The 23,310-nt window shown below is 47.6% G+C and overlaps 1 protein-coding gene across 6 annotated transcripts in view, besides 8 other annotated features; it reads right to left on the reverse strand.

Annotated features, from left to right (window-relative positions):
- The window catches only part of ROR2 (receptor tyrosine kinase like orphan receptor 2), a 227,628-nt gene extending 211,154 nt beyond the window's left edge, over positions 1-16,474 (reverse strand). For 4 of the 6 annotated variants that reach the window (XM_005252008.5, XM_047423436.1, XM_047423435.1 and 1 more), the window contains exon 1: positions 14,853-14,974. Coding sequence is in view for 2 of the 6 variants with exons in the window: in NM_004560.4 (NP_004551.2) it covers positions 16,113-16,209 (97 nt within the window). In the remaining 4 variants the exon portion in view is untranslated. Of the gene's footprint in view, positions 1-14,852; positions 14,975-16,112 lie in introns of those variants that run through there. The other 2 variants (NM_004560.4, NM_001318204.2) reach the window with 1 other exon arrangement.
- Positions 946-1,779: an enhancer, noted in NCBI's record as "H3K4me1 hESC enhancer chr9:94696982-94697815 (GRCh37/hg19 assembly coordinates)". NCBI's record gives its function as "activates a minimal SCP1, AML or CMV promoter by ChIP-STARR-seq in naive H9 embryonic stem cells {active_cell/tissue: H9 hESC(naive)}" and the evidence as "EXISTENCE:reporter gene assay evidence [ECO:0000049][PMID:30033119]".
- Positions 6,225-6,739: an enhancer, noted in NCBI's record as "NANOG-H3K4me1 hESC enhancer chr9:94702261-94702775 (GRCh37/hg19 assembly coordinates)". NCBI's record gives its function as "activates a minimal SCP1, AML or CMV promoter by ChIP-STARR-seq in naive H9 embryonic stem cells {active_cell/tissue: H9 hESC(naive)}" and the evidence as "EXISTENCE:reporter gene assay evidence [ECO:0000049][PMID:30033119]".
- Positions 11,457-11,958: an enhancer, noted in NCBI's record as "NANOG hESC enhancer chr9:94707493-94707994 (GRCh37/hg19 assembly coordinates)". NCBI's record gives its function as "activates a minimal SCP1, AML or CMV promoter by ChIP-STARR-seq in primed H9 embryonic stem cells {active_cell/tissue: H9 hESC(primed)}" and the evidence as "EXISTENCE:reporter gene assay evidence [ECO:0000049][PMID:30033119]".
- Positions 15,265-15,766: an enhancer, noted in NCBI's record as "H3K4me1 hESC enhancer chr9:94711301-94711802 (GRCh37/hg19 assembly coordinates)". NCBI's record gives its function as "activates a minimal SCP1, AML or CMV promoter by ChIP-STARR-seq in primed H9 embryonic stem cells {active_cell/tissue: H9 hESC(primed)}" and the evidence as "EXISTENCE:reporter gene assay evidence [ECO:0000049][PMID:30033119]".
- Positions 15,767-16,266: an enhancer, noted in NCBI's record as "H3K4me1 hESC enhancer chr9:94711803-94712302 (GRCh37/hg19 assembly coordinates)". NCBI's record gives its function as "activates a minimal SCP1, AML or CMV promoter by ChIP-STARR-seq in naive H9 embryonic stem cells {active_cell/tissue: H9 hESC(naive)}" and the evidence as "EXISTENCE:reporter gene assay evidence [ECO:0000049][PMID:30033119]".
- Positions 16,460-16,639: a silencer, noted in NCBI's record as "silent region_20028". NCBI's record gives its function as "represses an Ori minimal core promoter by ATAC-STARR-seq in GM12878 lymphoblastoid cells {active_cell/tissue: GM12878}" and the evidence as "EXISTENCE:reporter gene assay evidence [ECO:0000049][PMID:35858748]".
- Positions 16,753-17,047: a silencer, noted in NCBI's record as "tiled region #183; K562 Repressive non-DNase unmatched - State 1:Tss". NCBI's record gives its function as "represses a minimal TATA promoter and a strong SV40 promoter by Sharpr-MPRA in K562 cells {active_cell/tissue: K562}" and the evidence as "EXISTENCE:reporter gene assay evidence [ECO:0000049][PMID:27701403]".
- Positions 21,053-21,347: an enhancer, noted in NCBI's record as "tiled region #9366; K562 Activating DNase unmatched - State 5:Enh". NCBI's record gives its function as "activates a minimal TATA promoter and a strong SV40 promoter by Sharpr-MPRA in K562 cells {active_cell/tissue: K562}" and the evidence as "EXISTENCE:reporter gene assay evidence [ECO:0000049][PMID:27701403]".

Here is a 23,310-nt window from a genome sequence, read left to right on the forward strand (position 1 = left end):
ATGACATTTTCTACATAAAATTTCCAGAATAGGCAAATCCACAGGGAGAGAAAGTAGATTAGCGGTTGCCAGAGGCTAGGAAAAAGGCGGGGACGGGGAAATGGGGAGTGATGGTTAATGGGTAGAGGACTTCCTTTGGGGGTGATGAAAATGAACTGGATGGTAGTAATGGTCAAGTAACAATAAAAGTGGATTAAAAGACATTGAATTGTTCACTTTAACATGATTCATTTTATGTTATGCGAATTTTACCAGAATTTTTAAAAATAAATAAAGGAGAAGCACAAACAAGCACATGTGCGCAGAAAACATCAGGAATGAAGCATCAAGTCTGTTCAGTGTGTTTATGGATGCGGGGGGGCGAGTGAAAAGGGAGAAGTGGGAGGTGCTCTTCAATCACACCCTTCTCAGTTTTGGTTTCTTTTTCAAATCATCAACATGTGTTACTAGATTTTTAGTTTTGGTTTTTTCTTGTTTTTTACTTAATCAAGTACTAAATACACTGTTCTGATAGAAAATTAAAGCAGTCCAGTGAAAACTTACAGAAGTCCCTTTTGATCATACCCCAGCACCAGGAGGGGCCACTTAGAGATATCTGCCTCCATAAAAGACAGAAAATACGTAGCATTGTTTAAATACTTAGAATTATGAACAAATAATTGGCCCCAGCCAAAACTCCCCGAATATTACAAGGACCCTTCCCCCAGCAACCCACCCACCCACACACCCAAAGCACACAGCAGGCCTTAGTTTCTGGCTGGGGAAGACAGCAATTATGAAAAGCATTTGTTTAAACTTAATCCTGAGTAGTTCAACGTATACCCTCATTTGGCTGTTGTTCTTTCTTTTTCATTTTGCTTTATTTTTAAACAGCTGAGTTTTTAGGGCCCCATAGAAATGTGTGGTTGGTCAACTATGAGAAACTTGACTTAGTTCTTTTAAAATTATTATTTTCTTAAAAAGAAAGAAAAGAAATGAGCTCAGAGTTTAGAAAACAGCAACAACAACAAAAAGAGAGTACGTGAACCTTATTTGAACTCTGAAAACATATACAACACTTCACTAATTAGACGTAATTGTGTCAGAGCTCTGCCTTGCAAAACAATGGAGTTTCCTTCTTTCAAAAGAAAATAATAATGACATTTTATTTCCAAAATAAAATTTCCAAACTAAAATGATGACACACTAAATTTTGCAAATGGTGAAGGAAAACTGAGATGTCAAGAAAGCTGGTTGAATCTTACATAATTACGTTCTTGACAGCACTGTTAATACAATCAGAAGACAGAATTCTGCATCTCATTTCAATCTAAAGCATCCACTAGGATCCATCTGTGAAAAGTCACCTTCCAGTCCCAAGTCCCCGGCGGCCACCTGGGTCCACACTGACACCCCCAAATATGCTCATTGCAAATCTCCTCCTTGCACCGCTCCATGGATACCCCACCTCCGGCACTCAACATGACTTGGCTGCCACACACCAGGAAACCTCAGAGGAGCAGCCAGCTGGCCAAGCACCCCTGCCCCTGCCCTGCGGGCTCCACAAAAGCTGGAGGAGCAAACGCAGCTCACCTCTTTTTCTGTCCACTGCTTCAGGGCCTACCCCTGTGCTTTGGAGATGGAACAAAAGTGAGAGAGCTCCCTGACACACCCTCCCAGGGCGAGGATGGCAGCTCCTTCCTCCATTTGGTCCTAACACAGCCTCCCCAGGAGACCAGGGGCATCCACTTTGCCTCCTACTTCAAAGGGCTTCCAGGTCCCGCATAAATCACACTTGCTGACAGCCCCACAATTCCAGCCGCCATGAGGATGTTTGCTTTTGTTGGCTTTTTTGTTTTTGCCCAGGTCCCTGTAAGAGAAACAAAGGCCCTAGGACGGGCAGCACTAGGCGCCTGGCATCAGGGGGCTTGGCCCTGGGGGCAGACTGTCTTTCTACCAGCACCCACCCCCGGAGAGCTGCCTCATCTGCTCTGACATCTGGGATGCCCCGCTGCAGAAATCATGTACCCCAAGCACAGCCCACAAGTGACAAGGCTCAGGACTCTTCTCCAGGCCAATAGCTGGAGGGAGGTGATGGAGACAGATGGGCAGCCTAGCAATGACCCCCAGAGAGAAGGCCTTGGACACAGGACAGGATGCACAGAGGTGCCCCATATGCCCAAGGGGCTGGCCAAGTGCAGGGATGACAAGCGGTGAACACACAGACCGCAGCCCCAGCTACTCCACAAAGCACCCACCGCCTCCAGCCAGGACTGGCCTCATGAGTCTGTGCCCCCAACTCCTGACCGCAGCACTGACCAGCGCTGAGGGCCGGGGCCAGACAGCTCACCACCACTACCCCACTTCCCGAGGCTCAGCAATAGTTTAGCAGTAGAACCTTTTTTTCAAGTTAATTCTTAGGCAGAAACCCAAAAAGTAAAATCAATAGTGAGCTGCACTTGATCCACAGGCACTTATGGGTGGATGCGTGTGTTAGCCTCCTAGGGCTGCCGTAACTAAGCACCACAAACTGGGCAGCTTAAACAACAAGAATTTGTTGTCTCACAGCTCTGGAGGCCAGGAGTTGGCAGGGTTGGCTCCTTCTGAGGGTCCTCGGCTGTCCATAAGCCGAGTGTCGTCTGCCTGTGGTCTCTTACCTTCAGCCACCTTTCATGTCATCTGCCCCTGTGTGAGCTGGCCTGTGGCCAAACTGACCCTTAAGGACACCAGTCACATTGGATTATAGCCCACCGTAAAGACCTCATTTTAAATTATCACCTCTGTAAAGACTCTTTCTCCAAATAAGGTTACATTCTGAGGTACTGGAAGTTAGGACTTCAACATATCTTCTTTTGAGCAATTCAACCAATAACAGTGTGATATTCTCTGTTAAAAAGTCAGTAAGTGGGAACCCTGAGCCTCCATTATAATGGCCATAAAAACTTGAAACTCCAAGTTTAGGAAGCAGCTCTAATCTTATTTCCACCTCAACAATCTTTTAGATTTCCCATCTTCGGCCGGGCGCGGTGGCTCACGCCTGTAATCCCAGCACTTTGGGAGGCCGAGGCGGGCGGATCACGAGGTCAGGAGATCGAGACCATCCCGGCTAAAACGGTGAAACCCCGTCTCTACTAAAAATACAAAAAATTAGCCGGGCGTAGTGGCGGGCGCCTGTAGTCCCAGCTACTTGGGAGGCTGAGGCAGGGGAATGGCGTGAACCCGGGAGGCGGAGCTTGCAGTGAGCCGAGATCCCGCCACTGCACTCCAGCCTGGGCGACAGAGCGAGACTCCGTCTCAAAAAAAAAAAAAAAAAAGATTTCCCATCTTCTACTTTAGTTTCAGAATATCAAGAAAATTATGATTTTCTGCAGCCAGTAACACAAGCTAAAGTATTTTTTCAAGAGCTCACAGTGCAAACTCGGGATTATAGAATTAAACAGAGACGGCTGCTTCAGTCTGTGCTAAAACAAGCTGACCCAGAGGCGCCTGTGGACCCACTGTTGGTCTGGCAGGAAGCAAACTTGAGTGGAGGCTTTCATGATCATTTTAAAAATGTTAAATATGCTCAAAATGGAATGTGGATCAAATATTTGTAAAGCGCAGAGACTCCCCTCGTGGGGAGTCTGCAAACCCAGAGGATGAGGCGAGTTTCTGACAACTCCGAACTCCCATTTCTCTAACAGCTCACAGGACGCCCCCCAGACCCAGAGATCCAGACGCCCCAGGGGTCTAGATGCACCCCAACTCACATATGAACTGCCACAGCCTACTCAATAAGCTGACTTCCCACCTTCTCCTCTGGTCAGAGCCAGACAAAGGATTCTTACAAAGCAAGGAGGGAGATGAAGGGAAAGAGGCCCTCACTGCAGCAGCCCGACTCACTTGTTCCAATTTGTAGAGATAAATGTCTTCCCCAGGAGCTTCAAGAAAGGATTCAACAAAGTGATCACCAGCACAGGAGAGACAGGCAAAAAAGACCCTGAGTCTTTTTATCTTCTTTTGAGACTGAGTTTTGCTCTGTCACCCAGGCTGGAGTGCAGTGATCACAGCACTCACTACAGCCTTGAACTCCTGGGCTCAAGTGATCCTCCTGTCTTAACCTCCCGAGTAGTTGGGACTACAGGCATGCACCACCACGCCCGGCTAATTTTTCATTTTTATTTTTGTAGAAACAGGGTCTTGCTATGTTGCCCAGGCTGGTCTCCAACTCCTGACTGCAAGTGACCCTCCCACCTCAGCCTCCCGAAGTGCTGGGATTACAGGCAAGGGCCATCGTGCCCAGCCTGAATTCTATTAATGACACTTGAGAGCAGCTTCCTTGTTAGAGTAAATAAGTAAATAAACAACTTCAGCTAAAATAAGACAACACCTTTGACCAACCCCCTCATCTCCTCCAGGCTGACCCGAGTTAGTCTAATATTTGGGTATTTTAAGATCTTATTCCAGGCCAATCACAGTGGCACACCTCTAATCCCAACACTTTGGGAGGCCAAAGTGGAGGGATCTCTTGAGTCCGGGAGTTGGAGACCAGTCTGAACAACATAGTGAGACTCTTTCTCTTACAAAAATTTTTTTTTTAGTTAGCCAGATGTTGGTAGCTAATCCCAGCTACTCGGGAGGCTGAGGCAGAAGAATCAGCTTGAACCTAGGAGGTGGAGGTTACAGTAAACCCTGAGATTGCACCACCACACTCCAGCCTGGGTGACAGAGTGACACTCCATCTCAAAAAGAAAACAAATGTGAGCCAGATGTGATGTGCACACCTGTAATCTTAGCTATGTGGGAGAGTGAGGCAGGAGGATCACTTGAGCCCAGGAGGTGGAGGCTACAGTGAGCTATGATTGTGCCACTGCACTCCAGCCTGGGCAACAGAGCAAGACTTCATCTCAAAAAGGAAGAAGGGGATCTTATTCTAGAGATTGGTATCTCCACAGAAATGAGAGCAGGAAGGCGAGAGTTTTTAAATAGGTAAGTACACATCTCTCCTTCTGTATCATTCTCCCCACTCAGAATCTCTTCTTTGAAATCTTCCTCTATTTGCATCAGTAGATCCCCATATTGACTTGCATTTGTAGAATAACCCACAGTTGAGAATTAGCACCACTTATTTGGCTCCCATTAAAAGACACATAGATGTTTCCATGTTTCACTCCTGCAAATGGTGTTGCCAAGGAAGAGCATGAGTATTTCCTTAGAGTGGGCCATGGAGTATGTGCATTTTAAATGTTAACAAGTGGCCAGGCGCAGTGGCTCATGTCTGTAATTCCAGCACTGTGGGAGGCCAAGGCGGGTGGATCACAAGATCAGGAGATCTGGAGCATCCTGGCCAACATGGTGAAACCCTGTCTCTACTAAAAATACAAAAAATTAGCCAGGGGTGGTGGCACGTGCCTGTAGTCCCAGCTACTCAGGAGGCTGAGGCAGGGGAATTGCCTGAACCCGGAAGGCAGAGGTTGCAGTGAGCCAAGATTGCGCCACTGCACTCCAGCCTGGCGACAAAGCGAGACTCCATCTCAAAAAAAAAAAATTAAATTAAATTAAATGTTAACAAGTAATGCCAAATGGCCCTACCTGTGGCCAGTCCTGCACCATTAATGCCATGCTCCCGCATCATGGTTTTCGTGCTCCTTATTACCCACTTCTGATTTCAGTGATCCAATGAGTCAAAGAGCTTGGGATAACTGTTTTATAATCTGCATTTTCTTGAATCCTAATAAGGCCACACTTTTCACAAGTTTGTGGCCTTTTGTATTTGTTCTTCTGCAAACTGCCTGACTGTACCTTTTGTCCCTCGTTTAACTGGGGCGTTCATCTTTTTCTCACTGATCTTGTGAATTCTTTTACATACTCTGGATGTTGATCCCTCATCTGTTCTCTCTGTGGTAAAGGCCATCTCTCCATCCCACAGTGGGATGTCAAAGCCTCCACACCAAGAAGGAGAAAATTGAGTATTTTGTGTTTGTTACTGGAAAAAAGAAGAAGAGGGGCAGTAAACACACGGAAGTGAAAGTGCCTCCTCCCTCCTTTCTACGCATTAATACTGCATTTGTTTTCATAAAGCCAGTGTTCTGAGTACAGTGGAGACTGGTCCATGCCACAGGCTGTGCTGAAGGAGGTGGTAACAAGAGCACCCACCAAAAGAGGGCTCCAGAATAAACGGGACTGGGAAGGGCTGGATTAAACAAGGCTCAGCAGATGCCTCGTGGCCTGAATCTCCGGGCCCCACCCCACATTCACCTGCACAAAGATGTCCAAGAGAGACTCAGTGCCACTCCAAGCCCAGGTTCCTGGGCTCTGCACCCAGAGGGCCACAGCCTATGTGATGCAGGGAAGCAACACCTTCCAGAATTCGGAGCTTCCAAGCCCACGGGAACCCCAGAGCACAGCTGCATTCATGGCAACTCAGCCCCGCTGTGCGCAAATCAAGTGTGAAAGGCCATTTCCAGCAGGGCTGGGTATCAGACAACACCAGGGCTCCTTGTTGATAACAGTATTGAGATGGTGTGAAAAAAACAGTTCTTACCATTCATGCTGAAGTATTTTCAGGTAAACAATTAAGGCTGTCTGGGGACTGTTAAGTAGGCCGGGGGAAATGAAACGAAATGAACGTGGCAACTGTTGAAGCTGAGTGAAAAATATACAGCGGTTCACTGCAGTCGTCTAATTTTATGTGTGTTGGAATTTCTATAATAAAAATCTTAAGAAAGAAAAATCAGAAAACTTGGGGCAATCCAGAAACTAGACAAAGACAGAGATTTTCAGTCCCTTCAATGAAATGCTGTCTGGCCTCAAAAGCACCTGGATCGCATCCATCCTCAGTCCCTGTGACACCATTTCCAATAAAATCATAACGTGCAATTCTTTTTTTTTTTTTTTCTTGAGACAGAGTCTTGCTCTGTCACCCAGGCTAGAGTGCAGTGGCTCGATCTCCGCTCACTGTGACCTCTGCCTCCTGGGTCCAAGTGATCCTCCTGTCTCTGTCTCGGCCTCCCGAGTAGTTGGGATTACAGGCACCCAGCCCCCACCCCCGGCTAATTTTTGTATTTTTAGTAGAGATGGGGTTTCACCATTTTGGACAGGCTGGTCTTGAACCCCTGACCTCAGGTGATTCACCTTCCTCAGCCTCCCAAAGTGCTGGGATTACAGGCGTGAGCCACCACCTCGCCGGGCCTTGAGTCTTTCTTTTAACAGCATGTGCTAAACTCCATTGTTCATTGCACTGGCTTCAGCCATCCATTGTTAGAATTTAACATTTTTAATTCTTTTTTTTTTTTTTTTTTTTGAGATGGAGTCTCGCTCTTTCACCCAGGCCAGACTGCCATGGCGCTATCTCGGCTCACTGCAAGCTCCGCCTCCTGGGTTCACACCATTCTCCTGCCTCAGCCTCCCAAGTAGCTGGGACTACAGGCGCCCACCACCGTGCCCAGCTAATTTTTTGTATTTTTAGTAGAGACGGGGTTTCACCGTGTTAGCCAAGATGGTCTCGATCTGCTGACCTCGTGATCCCCCCGCCTCAGCCTCCAGAAGTGCTGGGATTACAGGCGTGAGCCACCGTGCCCGGCCTTAATTCTTTACTTTGAAACCATTTCGCCTTTACAGAGAAGTTACAAGAATGGTGCATGAAACTTCCCTCTACTCTTTGCCCAGGTTCACTAATGTGTCACTCTTGCCCCATGGGCTTTATCATGGTCTGAGATGACAATAGTAGGCTGGAGACATCAAGCCCCTTTATCCTTTAACATGGCAGCGTGTATGTCCTATGAGTACAGACATCCTCTTACACCACCTCTGCACAATTAACAAACTCAGGAAAGACAAGTCTGACAACACGTTTAAATAACTTACGCTCACCTTCCAATTTCCTCAGTGGTTCCGTTAGTATCCACGACAGCATGTTTTTCCCTCCAGCACAGGGTCAGGGCCAGCACATGCACTGGACTGCCTTGTCCCTGTGGTGTATTGTATTGTACTGTCTTCTCTACCTACCCTGTGGTGTACTGTATTGTACTGTCTCCCCACCCCGCCCAGCCCCGCCCTGCCCTCCTTTCTCTTCTCTTCTCTTCTCTTTCATTTTTGAGACAGGGTGTTGCTCTGCTGCCCAGACTGGAGTGTAGTGGCACGATCTCGGCTCACTGCAGCCTCCACCTCCCGGGTTCAAGTGATTCTCCTGCTTCAGCCTCCCTAGTAGCTGGAATTACAGGCACATGTCACCACGCCCGGCTAACTTTTGTATTTTTAGTGAGGACGAGGTTTCACCATGTTGGCCAGGCTGGTCTTGAATTCCTGACCTTGTGATCCGCTGGCCTCAGCCTCCCAAAGTGCTAGGATTACAGGCGTGAGCCACCACACCAGGCCCCTGTGGTCTTCTTCAAGCTGGACCTGGCCTGCCCTGTTTCATCGCTCATGTCCTCGACAATTTTTGCTACAGACCATTGTTTCATAGAATGTCCCTCCATTTCGTTTGCTGATTTTTGCTCATAATCAGACTCTCTTCCCCAGATAGAAAGCAACCTAAATGATGTATGCTCTTGGGAAGGACGGCATCCATCTGCCCAAATCTGTGGCATTAACCTGGACCACCCAGGTATTGGGATGCAAATCTCGCCAGTCTACAGTTAGCAACTGTCCCTTGCCAACAAGGAATCTGTGGGGAAATCCTTTGAGACCACAGACATTTCCTGCTCCTCATCAAACATGTCTTCTTTAATGAGTTTAGCACTCATTCATGACGCCTGCCCAAATCAATCCGTACAGTTATTGCTGTAAAATGTGATTATTCCCAACTCGCCTCCCATTTATCAGTTGGCACTTTGCTCTAGGAAGTGCCCTCTCTTCCCCACCCCTCCCACTTAGGTTTTGTAGTAAATTAGTGTTTCCCTATCCACCCAGAAGCTCAGAAAGTGACCTTATTTGGAAATAGTCTTTCCAGTAGTAATAAGGAACATGAGATTAAATCATCCTGTATTTACAGTGGTCCCTAAATCCAATCACTGGTGTCCTTACAATAAAAGGTCATGTGAAAATGGCGATAGAAGTCAAAGTGATATAGCTCCAAACCAAGGGCACCATGAGCCACCAGGAACTAAAAGAGGCAAAAAAGTTTTCTCCCCTAGAGCCCTGGGAGGGATCGTGGCCCTGCCGCCACCTTGATTTTGGACTTCTAGCCTCTAAAACTGTGGGAGAATACATTTCTGGTTTTTAGGTCACCCCGTTTATGGCATTTTGCTACAGCAGGCCTAAGAAACTCATACATATAGTTATGTACTTATTATCAATGGTGAGTCCTGGATGCCTATTTTGTTCCTTGTATAATCCATGCTTGTCTTTATTTATTCTGATGCCTAAATGGTCCCAGACTTGGCTGCAACTCCTTCAAGTTGGCCCCTGAGTACATCTGCCATGCCCCCACCACTTTTCACCACTCACTTGCGTTCTAACACAAGAACACGTTTCAGGCTTATTGTGTATTTTTCCCTGTCCCCATCCCATATTCAGTCATTTCTCCAAGGTTCTCTAGCTCCTTTAAGATGCAACAGTATTGAGAAACCAACATCTGGGCACTAAGAAAGCTCACTGCTAATGAGGTGCTAAGAAATAACTGTTATGTGTAGAGTATGTTTTACAAATTACGGTGCATAATTTAACATAATATATACCAAATATATATATAAATGAAAGCATGAGTTACACTGATACCTCCAATTCCAATTCAACCCCTCCAGATTCTTCCTTGCCTTCCCCTATTCCATCCTTATATCTCCCTCCTTCCTCAGTGAGCACCCTGGCTACAACACTATTAACACACTTCTTATCTGTCTAATCTCACAATTCACACAAAGTCATTTCAGAATGGATATACCCACACCACTATGAAAATCAAACCTACTAAGAAGGGTGCCAGTTTTGCTTTCAGGTTGTTGTTTCTCCTGTAGGCTGAGGATACACCGTCAAAGCACTGAGTCCAACATTACGGTTTCTTTTCCCCCATCTGTGTAGTCATGTTACTCATTTGCAACACATTTGCATTTATGTGCTTCTTTGTATTCAATTCTAGTTTCCTGCTATTCTTAGTGATTTATTTTTTGAACTTGTAGAATGTTAGCATGTTCTAAAAGTCAAAAATATACCAAAAAATGAGAATAAACTAATAGAAAGGAAACCACCTCAACATAGTAAAAGCCATATACGACAAGCCCAGCAAACATCACACTCAATGTTAAAAGACTGAAAGCTTTTCCTCCAAGATCAGGAACAAGACAAGAATGCCCATTTTCACCTCTTCTATTCAACACAGTACAGTCATGCGTTGCTCAACGATGACGATACATTCTGGGAAATGTGTCCCTGGGCAATTTCATCATCATATGAACATCATAGAGTGTCCCTCACACAAACTGCACACCTAGGCTATGTGGTGTAGCCTACTTCTCCTAGGCTACAACAAACCTATACAGCATGTGGCTGTACTGAATACTGTAGGCAACTGTAACAGGATGGGAAGCATTTGTGTATCTAACCATATAAAAGGCACAGTCATATACAGTAGTGTTATCTTATGGGACCACTGTCATATAGGTGGTCCATCGTCTGAAAACATCATTATTTGGCCCATGACTGTATTGGAAGTTCCAGGCTGAGCAATTAGGCAAGACCAAAAATAATAAAAGGCATCCAAATTGTAAAGGAAGAAGTAAAATTATGCCTATTTGTAGATGATACGACTTTACATACAGAATAAGAGCTACAAAAATGCTATTTGAGCTAATAAGCAAATTCCACAAGCTTGCAGGTTAGAAAATCAACACACAAAAATGTTACATTTCTGTGCACTAACAGTGGGCAATGTGAAAAGGAAATTTAAAAAACACAATTCCAATTACAACAGCTCGAAAAGAATAAAATACTCAGGAATAGATTTAACTTAAGAGGCAAAAGACTCATACACTAAAAACTAAAAAACATTGCTGAAAGAAATGAAAGGTCTAAATAAATGTTAAGACATCCTGTGTTTATGGACAGGAAGACAATACTGTTAAGATGATGGCCAGTGAGGTGGCTCATGCCTACGATCCCAGGACTGGGGTGGGGGTGGGGAATCCCTTCAGCCCAGGAGTTCAAGACCAGCCTGGGCAACACAAGTGGACCTCCATCTCTACGAAAAAAAATCAAAGAATTAGCCAGGCACGGTAGCGCGTGCCTGTGGTTCCAGCTACTTCAGAGGCTAAGATGGGAGGATAACTTGAGCCCAGGAGGTAGAGGCTTAGCCCAGGAGGTTAAGGCCAGAGGTAGTGAGCCGTGTTTGCACCACTGCACTCCAGCCTGGGTGACAGAGCAAGACCTTAACTCAAAAAAAAAAAAAAAAGTTAATACTACTCAGATCCATCTACCAATTCAATGCAACCTCTACTAAAATCCCAGTGACATTTTTGCATAGCAATTTGTGGCTACTGACACCTGAAATGAAGCCAGTGAAGGGGAGGAAGTGAATCTTTAATTTCTTTTAATTTTAATTAATTTTAACTTATATAGCTGTGTGTGCCTGGTGGCTACTATATTCCACAGCACAAGCCTACAATGAGGAGTTCAGGCCTAAACATTTCCTTATTTTAACTGCCCATTGTGTTAACTATCCCTCCAGGAGGGTGTGGAAACCATTAGGCTAGGAGTATTTGGGATTTAGGGGAACCCTCCCCCACTCCAGGAGGACTTGAAGCAGCCGCCACATTCTCCTCTGATAACATCTAGAAAGTGACAGAGTGCTTACTGAAGCTCATTCCAGCGACAATTAAAGACATACACACCACTTCCCACTAGAACTTAAGGATTTCTAGAGGACCAAGCTACTTAGTCGAATTAAGCTACATTTTTCTGTAATTATTTCCTTCCCTTTAGCTTTTGAGTTTTTTGCTTTTTTCAGAGATAGGACTTAAAAAGAAAACACCCACAGAAATCCCAAAAACAGTGCCAACCACACCAATAAAATTCCCTATTTTGTAAAAGCTTTATGAAAATTCCCAACACTGTTCAACAATTCTTTGGCCACTCTACGAATATGATTTTAAACAGATTACACCCCAGACATATTTTATGACAACTGCACACGCAAGCAAAGCTGTCCCGCCCTCGTTTCCAACTTGGCAAGCTCTTCAACAAAACCAAATAAATACATGCTAGAAAAAGGCGGCTGCTACAAAACCCCGGCCAGTTGCAGCTATAATTAATGGGCTGGAGCGCCTCTTGTTGCTTGGATTTTTACTTTCAAAACTCAAGAAGCCCACACTACCCACTGAAAGCCTCAACAGTGTTATGGTGGTGTTGTGGGGCAAAGCAGAACCTAAGAGCCCAAAGGGTCACTGAGAAGTAATGTTTTCAAAGCCAGTCCCTTCAACCCAACAGTCCCTTCATGAAATTGCTATTGGCCATGCAGCTGGGGTGCAACCAATAAAAATCCAGACCTAGCTAGCAATGCTTCCACTGCAAAACAAAGCCCCCTGGTTTCTTTACTTTGAAACCTTACATGCTTGGTATTCTCCACTTGGTGGTCACCACGGGGCTCCCAAAAAGGAAATATCCTAATGACAATGTATGGAGTCACAACCAATGGGCAAGAGCAAGGAAGAGCCCGCCCCGAGGAGCCCCCAAGGAGGCACCTCAAGGTAAACCCAAAATTGGGCTGCCCAGCCCTTCACCACGTGGAAACCACAAGACGCTGATGGGGTGTGGAAGAGGAGGAGGAGGGAGTCCTTCACAGTGTCCCCTCCAGGTTCCCAGGGAATGAACCAGATAAACACCAAAAGGAAAGGCCTGTCATCAAGGAACCATTTTAGAAGATGGTTATAAACCCTGGGAAGGAGTAACAGTTTGTAGCGTTAACTTTCTTTTCCCTGACTACAATGTGGAATTATATAATTAGAACTCTCCAAGGGAAAGGATTACAAAGAGTACACAAATTTCCAGCACTACAACAGACTAGCCAGGTCCTGCAGATTAGGGAGCTCAAGTCCTTCACATCCAGTTCCCATTTCACTAATAACTTTTCCCATCCTGGCCTCTCAGGGAATGCATTTTAAAGGAGTGCCAGTCCACCAGCTGAAACCTTTCTAAAGGGGATTAATCTTCCCTACCTGTCAGATGAGCTGTTCGTACCCCTGTATTTCTATTCCACTGATTTCAGAAGAGCTTCCAAAGAAAAGAGCAGTGTAAAATTCAGACTCTGCCAGACTTAATCTCTTGGAGGTTAAATCCAGGCTAACTGTTTAAGGGGCAACAAGTGATTCACTGCAAACCACACTTAAGAGAGAGACATACAAACACCAATTACAGCAGCACTTTGAATAAACAATAAAAAAAAGGTTTCACAATAAAAATAAAAATGTTGTTTAACATTGCCTTAAAAATCTGCAGAGCAGTCACCAAAAACTACCCCTGGAAAACGCACATTTTAAAAAACCCATGTTGCTTTTTTACATATAAAATATAAAGCAGACTTGTCAGTTTTCCATGATTTGCTTTACTAATTAAAAGTTCAGCTTGGCTTTCCAGAGCCCTCTCAGTTACACTGAGTGTCACATAGGGTCCACGGCGATCAGATTTTCAGGGTGACATGCTTTATGAAGTGGACATGAGAGTTAAGCAGGATCTCACAATTATACTGAAAAATTTCAAATGTGTAGCTCTGTGCTTGGTACACAGCCGTAATAAGAAAAATATGTTGCCTTACTATATACATAAAAACTTTTCTTTTTCCACAAAGTCTTCTTATTCAAGATGTTTCCATTTATTTTCTTCTAGATGGATTTCTTCTAGACGGATCACTATCATTATTTATTACCACCATCACTCCAGGGATCTGGGCCAAAAGTAAACACTACACTGCCAAAAATGGGGGCTGGGGGGACCCTAATGCTCCATCGTTCCCCACCTACCCTACCTAGGATTGGTATATAGTCCCAAATCAGTATTTGTCATCAGAGGAAACAGAGTCTTGCTATTAAAATGTGGAATAAGAACTTACAAATCCTTTTAGAAAAACCCCTAAATAGTTTTACATAATAAATTATTTCGTGGATAAAACACACTCAAATAACAGGGACTCCTCTTTTCACAGCAGAAAAGATCCCAAACACTCAAATCTCCTGTAATCATATAATTTTATTATTATTTTGAATAAAAATTATCATACTCTTTGGATTTTGTTAACCTAGCCATACAGAACGAAGAGAATTATATCCTATGCCCTCTCCTATAAAGATTATGAGTATTTCACTAGAAAAAGAACAGGGTTCAAAAATTAAAGAAAACGACTCCAATTGCTTTGTTCATATAAGACATTTGTACATTCACTGGAAACTATGAGTGTTTAAATTCCTTCACCCAAAACTCAAGGAACTTTCCTGTTACAACCACCTTGGCTTAAGCAATGGACCCATCATGCTTTCCTCATCACCCATCTAAAAACCCCCACCACAGCACCGCCCCTCAAAGGCTGCGCTCAACCCTCATGGTCTGCAAGGCAGAGTTTTTGTAGGACAATTAACCGCAGGGTGAACAGCAAAAGCCGCCCAACAGCACGTCCAGCAACGTGTTTAAGCCGCCTCCCCGCCACCCCTCTCCCCCAGCAAAGGGATCTCCTGGGAGATTCTTGGGGGAGGGGTTGCAGAAATCGACAGAGGTCTTGAGTGATGGATACCAACTTAGAATGTGGTCTACTTATTTTATTGTGCACTCTGAGCGGTTTATGCTTTAATGCACAGTGAGATAAACGCAAGCTCCCTTCCCAAATCAAGTAATTAGGAATGTCTGACGTAATCAACATCTGCTTAAACTAAAACCCCCCCCCAGGAAAGACTGTGCAGCCTTTCTGACTCGCGTACCTTGGGCCGGCTAGGGCGGCAGGCCAGGATACCTGGAGCGCGCAGCTCCCAGCAGGACGCAGGAAAAGCAGAGCGTCTCCCAGCCTGCGACTGTCCCGATTCTCACCTTCCTGCAGGAGTGCAGGGATGGGGGATACTGAAGCCCATTTACTAGTAAGAAGTGTCTCACACATTCCGGGGGCTTCAGGCGAACCCCATAGGTCTCTGGCGCTCCTGGGCCTGAAGGCCCCGCCCGCCCTCCTCCACCCCCGCAGGGTGCCGAGAATCCGGCCCGAGGCGCGCGGGCGGGAGGTGCTCCCGGAGTCTGCACCGCCAGAGCTAACGCCGCCTCCTCCAGGCAACCTAGGCAGGTCCCAAGCTGCACTTCCGAACCTCCCCGCCGTTCCTCTGCGCCCCGGATCCAAGCAGCCGAAACCGCGCAGGGACTCGGGGGAAGTGGGGCCCCGGGAGGAAACCCACCTAGGAGCCGGGCCCCGCCCCTCCCGCCGCCAGCCTCCTACAGGTCCCGGGGGTCCCCCCGGCGCGGCCAGAAGGCGGCCGCGCCCCAGCCGCTCAGGGACCCGCGATCCCAGTCACAAACCATTTCAATCCAGATCACACACCACTTCGGCCACCCCAGAGCGGTGGGGGAGAGGAGGTTTCAGGGACCAACAAAAGGGATGCCAAAGAGCCCGTTTCCATCAAGCGGCCCGCGGGCTGGGAAAGTCAGGACCCGGGAGCCGCCGGCGCCCCCACCCCCGCCGCAAGAGCCGCTTCTCCGGGGCCACGTCCACCCCAGGATTCTGCCAGGCATCAGGCCGCCCTGGGGGTGGGGGGACGCTCCGAGACAGACGGGGGACACTCGGGGCCGTGTGCCCTTGAAGGAGGAAGACCTCGGGGAGGAAGCCCGGGTCCTGGGACCCTCGGGGCACATCTGCGGACTCGGGTCCCGGGCCCAGGGCGGGTACTCACATTCACACTCGCACTCCCACTCGCGACCCTCGGGAAGCGCCACCGAGAGGCTCCCAGCCGCCGCCGCCCGCCCCCAGACTCTGGAAACACTTAGGCGTCCCCAGAGCGCGGCTTATTGTAACCAGCCCGAGGGGGTCCGGGGTGCGGGCCGGGAGCGGCGTCGGGCGAGATGCGAATGGCCCTGCCTGGCGCCCCTCGTTCAGGAGCATGGGCGCCGGCGCAGCGGCCGGGAGCATAGTGGCGGCGGAAGGGCTGGCCAAGCGAGCCGTGAGCTACCGTCTGCGCACAAGCCGGAACGCCAGATCCTACCTGAAGTCCGGGACACTGAGAGCAGAAGCGCGGCGGCCGCCCAGACGGCCGGGATGCACAGCAGCGGCCGCCGCGGGAGCGCCGAGCCCCGGGCCATGCCGCAGGCAGTGGGGGCCGGGAAGCCCTCAGAGCTTCGGGCCGGGGCGCGGGGTCGGGCGCCACCACCCCTTTCTACGATGCGTCCGCTCCTCCTTCTCCCTGGCGCTTCGCAAACGGGTCCACTTCGAGGACCTCGTCGTCGTCCTCTTCTCCGGCCCGGATGCGCCGCTCGGCTCCGGCCACGGCAAGGGCTGGCTGGGGAGGTTCCTTGGCGCGGGCTGGGGCGTCCCGCCGGCCGCCAGGACGAGCGCGGGGGGCGGACCGCGGGCGAGCGCGCAGGAGGCAGGGTCCCCGCTCGCCCGCCCCGATGGGCAGAGCGAGGCTTGCGCCGGCGCCCCCTGCCGGGGGAACGCGCGGGCGGCGGGCGGGACCCAAGGAGCTGGGGCTGCAGCTGGGGCCCCGGACCTGCCTCCTGCGCCCGCCCTCGGGCCTGCGCCTCGGAACGCTTGAACACAAAGGTGGCGCCTTGGGGGCGTCAGCCGGAGTTCGGCGGGTCTGCCCACGCAGGAGAGGCGCCCAGAGCGGGTGCCCCCGACTTTCGGGGGCGACACACCCGGGGATCTAGGTCACAAATCAGTAACTCCAGGCTGCACTGCGCACCGGGACAAATCTGAGAGCCACCCAGCCCCAGACACCAGCGGTGAGGCAGGAAGAGGAGAAGCGAAAGTTGCAAAAGGAAATGTTCAGGAAAACAAACAGGCCGCCTTGGCACCGGCGCCCTCCCAGGTCGGTGGGGACAAGCGCGTCCCCCGAAATGCTCAAAACTGCCAGGGGTCGAGCTGCGTGGAGGGAGCCCTCGGGAGCGCGATGCTATCCGAAGCCACCGCGGCTTTTGGTTTACTGTTAAAAGCAAATTGTATAATTTTACCCATTAAAGGCAGAACACTATTTGTTCTCTGCAGAGGCCCAGAATGTGCAGAATTTGCTTCACTTATTAGAGACATTTTGAACGGAATTCAAATAGCATGTTTTCTTGCTTATTCTTGGTTTTGCTCAGCACATGCAAATGTCTTTGTTTTTCCTCTTAGAGGAAGGAATTGGATTCTCCAGCATCTCAGTTGCTTGTTCCATGAGATTGATCTTTTAACTGATTATCCAGCAGTTTGTTTGGTGTTTTTGCTGGAGTACCAAGCTCTGTTAATTGGAGGGCATTAGGGAGAGCCCTGGCCTTGGGTGCCAGACGTGAGGCCTCAGACGTGGCCAGAAATAAAAACTCTCTTGCTATGGTCTGCGGACAAAATGACTAAGCCAGCTCTAGCTTGTTACCTCTGTTAAAAGTATTTAGGCGTCCGGCTATCTCTACCCAATTTGTGTAGGGAAATATCTCACGCAGTTCTCATTCCCAGGAGCTGCTGTAAATCCAGTAGGAGAATGGGAGAAGATCCTAGCCCCTCCTCAACTGGATGGCAAAATTATTACCAAACTTCTTAGACGGGCTCAGGCTGTTCCTCTGCCCAGGCTGGTGCGGGTCTGAACGGGGGGGCTGCTCTCCCCAGTGGTTAGAGGACTGCCAGGGGTTTATCTTTGGGGTTTTCCTCCCTTTAGCTTCCCTTAGAATCCTTAAGGATGCTTTTAGAGTAATGTTTTAAGAGTAGGTGCTGAAGCACTTAGTTCCACACCCCTCTCTTCTGGATCTAGGGAAAACCCAACAGGGGCTGCAGAGAAGGGTCTTGAACCTGCCCTGGAAAACCCCTCCCTCAGCAATGCTGTGTCCTTTCCGTGGTGCTGTGCAGCTCGGAGAAGGTGGTCCCAGCACCTTTGCTTTCCACTTCACACAGCGTGAGCATGTGGCTCCAGAACCATTTCATCAGCAGCCCTGCCATTTATTTTTGTGTGACCTTCAGGAAAATGACCTCATCATGCCCCCATCTGTGTGTTATTTTCACATGACTGAGGCCCCACAAACCCAACTCAAAGGTTTAAACAGCAACATATATTTTGCTGACAGTTTCTTGGGTGGAGTCAGAAATGTGGGTTATATTGCATATGATTTCTTAAAAGCCTTTTAAAGCTTTCTTTTTTGGCATTTCTCTCTCACTCTCTCCTTCCCTTTCTGTAGGTTCTGAACTGAAGGATAAACAAAAAAAGCAAAGTTGGAAGGATGAAAATACAAGCTTTCTCAGTGGTTAAGAGAATATGGCTTACGTCCAAGGCCAAATTGGAGCAACATATTCCTTTCCATCTGTATTAGTCATCAATTGCCACATAACAAATTGCCCCACGATTTAACAGCTAAAAACAGTAAACATTCGTTATTTCACACCATTTCTCTGGGTCGAGAAGGCAGGAGAGACTTAGCTAGATGGTGCTGGCTCAGGGTCTCTCAGGAGGTTGCAGTCAGATGTCAGCCAGTGCTGCCATTATCTGAAGGCTCGCTGGGGCTAGAGGAGTCTCACAAGGTGGATTACTCACATGCTCAGCAAGTTAGTGCTAGGTGTGGATGGGAAGACTCAGTTTGTAGCCACGTGGGCTTCTTGGGCATCCTCACAAGATGGCTTCTAGCTTCTCCCAAAGTGAGCAATCCAAAAGAGAGCCAGATAGAAGCCACAGTGTCTTTTATAGCCTAGCCTTGGAAGTCACATGCCATAATTTCTGCAGTATCTATTGGCTCCATGGGTGGGCCCTTTGTCATAGAAGGAAACTAAACAGGTTTATATATACCAAGAGATAGGAATCACTGGAGGCTGACACCACACCAGCTGTATGGGGACAGCCATTTTCATCCTTGTGATGAACAGCAAGCAAGAGGGAGAGAAAATGAGCAGGGTCTATACTAGCAAGACCGGCGGGAACAAGCCCTTGCAGGCCTTAAGAAAGGAGGGAGCCATGCACATATCTGGGAAGAGTATTTGAGCTGGAGTGAAGAGCCAGTGTGAAGATTTCAAGGCCAGGGGTATCCTGGGATATCTGAGACCTGGGTGGTTAAATTATGTGGTTTAATTCACATTTTCCTGATGAGGAGTCATATTCTATATTTTTTCTTATGCTTATTGGCCGTTAGCCTACCTTCTTTTGTCAGATGTCTAGTCAAATTTTTGCTGATTTATTTTTATTTTTATTCTTTGTCTCCCTCAAATCATGGAATTTCTTTTCTTCTCTGATTTTTTCATAAGGTTGGATGCCTTCTTCTTTTCAAGTGTTGCCCAGGCATGGTGGCTTTTGCCTCTAATCCCTATACTTTGGGAGGCCGAGGTGGGAGGATCACTTGAGCCTAAGGGTTCGAGACCAGCCTGGGCAACATAGTGAGAGCTTGTCTCTACAAACAATAATTTAAAATTAGCCAGGAATGGTGGTGAGCGTCTGTAGTCCCAGCTACTCGGGAGGCTGAGATGGGAGGATCACCTGGGCCCAAGGAGTACGAGGCTGCAGTGAGCTATGATTGCACAACTGCACTCCAGCCTGGGCTGCAGAGTGAGATCCTGTCTCCAAAACAAAACAAAAAAAAGTTTTTAGAGCTCTTTTTTGTATGTTCTGAGTGAAAACTCAAAGAGACAGATATATTTTCTTCCAGTTTCTGGCTAGTTTTCATTTTTTTAATGATGTCTTTTCATAAGTTGCGGTTTTTCATTCTGCTGAAGTCCAGTTTATCCATTCTTTCATTTGTAGGTAGTGCTTTTTGAGTTTCAATAAATACCAAATCAGACCCCTCCCCCGCTACAAAAAAAAAAAAAAAAACGATATGGAGTATCTGGGCATACCAAACTTCACTGCGTGGACGTGGAAAGTAGGTGACTACAGTCCAAGGCCTTGGGCCCACCGCGCTTTTGTGAGGAATACATGCAGACCAGTGTGGTAGAGTTTTTCACTTGCTTATTACTTTTTCAGTTAGGAAATCCTCAGCTGAATTGTACCCTTCTGCTCCACTAGCAGGGAGCTCTACAAATATCCCACTGCAAACAAGATAAATCGCCAGACGTGTCAAACACAATGGCTTCATTTCCTCACTCCACACTCCTTGCCAGTCTGCCACCCTGAATCCACACAAGCAGCTGGGTGTGGTCATCCATGTACTGAACCAACATACATTTTTGTTCTTCTCTCACGCAGTCTCTCTGCAGCATTTTACCCTAGACCATTCCCTCTTCAAAACATGTTTTCCCTCGGCTTGTATGATATCAAGAGCTCCTGGTTTTGCTTCTACTTATTTAGCCATTTCTCCTTGTTCTTCTTTGCACCTTAACCTCTTCCACTTGGTGATTATGCTGGTCTTGGTCCTCTGCCATCCTCTCATCTTGCTCCACACTCTCCCGGTGGGAAATCTCTTCCAAGCTCATGGCTTCCAATGTCACCTATGTGCCCAGCACCTCCTAAATCTGTAACTCCAGCCTGGCATGCTCCCCTGACCTCCAAACTTACATTTGCAGCTGCCTGCCTGGCGTTTCCACATGACTGTCCCAATGGCACCTCAAACTCAAGTTATTTAAATCATGGACTCAAGCTCTACATCGCCCTACCCCAAACCCTGCCCCAAACCTCATCTTTTTCCCACGTTCCCTCCTGCACTTGATGGCACCATCATCCGTGTAGTTCCACAAGATCAGAAGCCCAACCCCCTCCTTGCCCTCTCTCCTATGTGCACTTAGCATCACGGCCTTTGGTCTCCACCCAATGCCCTCTGCCTCCCGTCCTCTCTCTCTATCACCATCACCCTAGCCGGAGATGCTTGTCTCGTTTGCCTGGAGAAGAGCCTCCTAACTAGTCTTTCCATCTCTAGCTTCCACCTGCTCCAGTCTCCTCTCCACCCATATATGGGAAGATCTCTTCAAACTAAAGCTAACGATGCTTCTGCCAAATGCCTTGCTCCTGTTCCTAAGTGAAAGCCTGAAATCTTTCATAGCCCTGGGGATCTGACACCTCCTTACCTGTTCAGGCCCATTCTGTGCTATGTTCTTGCTCTCTACTTTCCAGCTATTCTGATCTTTCATTTTCTCAAAAACATAGAAAGCATGAACTCCCTTTCACCAGGGGGCGCTTTAGCAAGCAGTTCTTTCTGCCTACAGCATGCTCTCGCTCACTCCCTTCACTCAAACGACTTTGTCTCATCCCTGTGGATGCCACTTCCTTGGAAATGCCTTCTCTGTTGTCCTCACCCCACAGTGGGGCAGGGCTCCACGGAAACCCACCTGAGCACAGACCACTGTGCTCTGCATGCTCACTGAACTGAAGTCTGTGTTCCCTGCCGACCTGAAACTCCACAAGGAAGAGACTGGCATGTCCCCAGCAATGCCTGTAATGTGCCAGCAGTGTATTTGTGGATAAAAGGAAGAGAGGAAGGCAGAAAAATGCTGACATGTTGAGCTCTGATTTAGGGCAAATAGAATAAATTCTTTTATTTCCCAGTCTGCTGTCTTTCCCTCTAATGTACAGCAGATTCTTTCTTAATGATGCTGGCGGTCTCTCCATTTCCCACTTACATGACTGAAGTGTAGACTCATCCTGAAATTATTCATTATCCAGAAACATGGGGCTTTTGTAAAGTAAATTTTACCTCAAACCATATATTTGTGTGTACAGCTGTTTAAGCTATTCAGGCTTTCTTGTTTCCAAAAATTCAGATTCAGGAATAATAAAACAAGGATTCTTGTTTTCACCAATAGCTACAAACTTTAGAAGTTCACAAGGCTTGAGTGCAGTAGTCATTATAATAAAGAAATTTTGGCCGGGCGCAGTGGCTCATGCCTGTGATCCCAGCACTTTGGGAGGCCAAGGCGGGCAGATCACCTAAGGTCAGGAGTTCAAAACCAGCTTGCCCAACATAGCAAAACCCCGCCTGTACTAAAAATACAAAAATTAGCTGGACATGCTGGTGCACACCTATGAACCCAGCTACTGGGAGGCTGAGGCAGGAGAATTGCTTGAACCCGGGAGGCGGAGGTTGCAGTGAGCTGAGATGGTGCCACTGGAGTCCAGCCTGGGTGACAGAGCAAGACTCCGTCTCAAAAAAGAAAAAAAAAAAAAAGAAACTTTATCTTAAATTTCCAATCTTTTTTTTTTTTAGATGGAGTATTCACTCTTTGTTGCCCAAGCTGGAGTGCAGTGGCACCATCTTGGCTCACTGCAACCTCTGCCTCCCGGGTTCAAGCAATTTTCCTGCCTCAGCCTCCTGAGTACCTGGGATTACAGGTGCCCGCCACCACACCCGACTAGTTTTTATATTTTTAGTAGAGACGGGGTTTCACCATGTTGGCCAGGCTGGTCTCGAACTCCTGACCTCAGGTGATCCACCTGTCTCGGCCTCCCAAAGTGCTGGGATTACAGGCATGAGCCACTGCGCTCGGCTGACTTAATCTCCTTAATTGTGTTGAGAATTCTCTTGAAATCAAGTATGTGGTATCTTTGCCAACACCAATTCTCTGATTCACCCAAAATCAGCTGGGTGCCCAGCAGTTTCATTTTATTATGACACTAGCTATCCAGATTTAGGAGCAGACTCGACAAGTTTAAAGGCTCAGTTCCACAAGACTGACCCCCACGTCAGATGCCAACCCCAAGTACTGAGTTCCCAGGTTACCTACACCTCTGTCTGACTTGCTACAAATTCGTGGGTTCCCACAACCTCATCCTCAGTGGGATAATTTGCTAGAACAGCTCACAGAACTCAGGAGCACACCTTACTTACTATTGCCCGTGTATTATAGGGACACGGTCAGGAAGAGCCATATGGAAGAGATGCACAGGCTGAGGTTTGGTGTTAGGAGGCATGGAGCTGCCGTGCATCTCCAGGCACACCACCCTCCCTGTATCCCAGTGCACTCACCAATCCAGAGCTCCCCCAGCCCCATAGGTGAGGGGTGTTTATGAAGATTCCATTACATAGGCACGATTGATTATATCATTGGCCATGGTGATTTGACTCAGTCTGCAGCTTCTCTCCCTTCCCCAGATGTTGGGGAGGTGTGCTGAAAGTTCCAACCCTCTGATAAAGATTTGCTGTTTCTGGTGACCAGCCCCTAATACGAAGTTATTTAAGGCCCCGAGCCCAAAACCATCTTATTAAGATAAACCCAGGTATGGTCTAAATGAGTTCTTATCAACGACAAAAGACACGATCATTCAGGAAACTCCAAGAGTTTTGGGGCTATGTGCTATGAACTGAGAA

The sequence above is a fragment of the Homo sapiens genome, chromosome 9 (assembly GCF_000001405.40).
Source record: "Homo sapiens chromosome 9, GRCh38.p14 Primary Assembly".
Classification (NCBI taxonomy): Eukaryota; Metazoa; Chordata; class Mammalia; order Primates; family Hominidae; genus Homo; species Homo sapiens.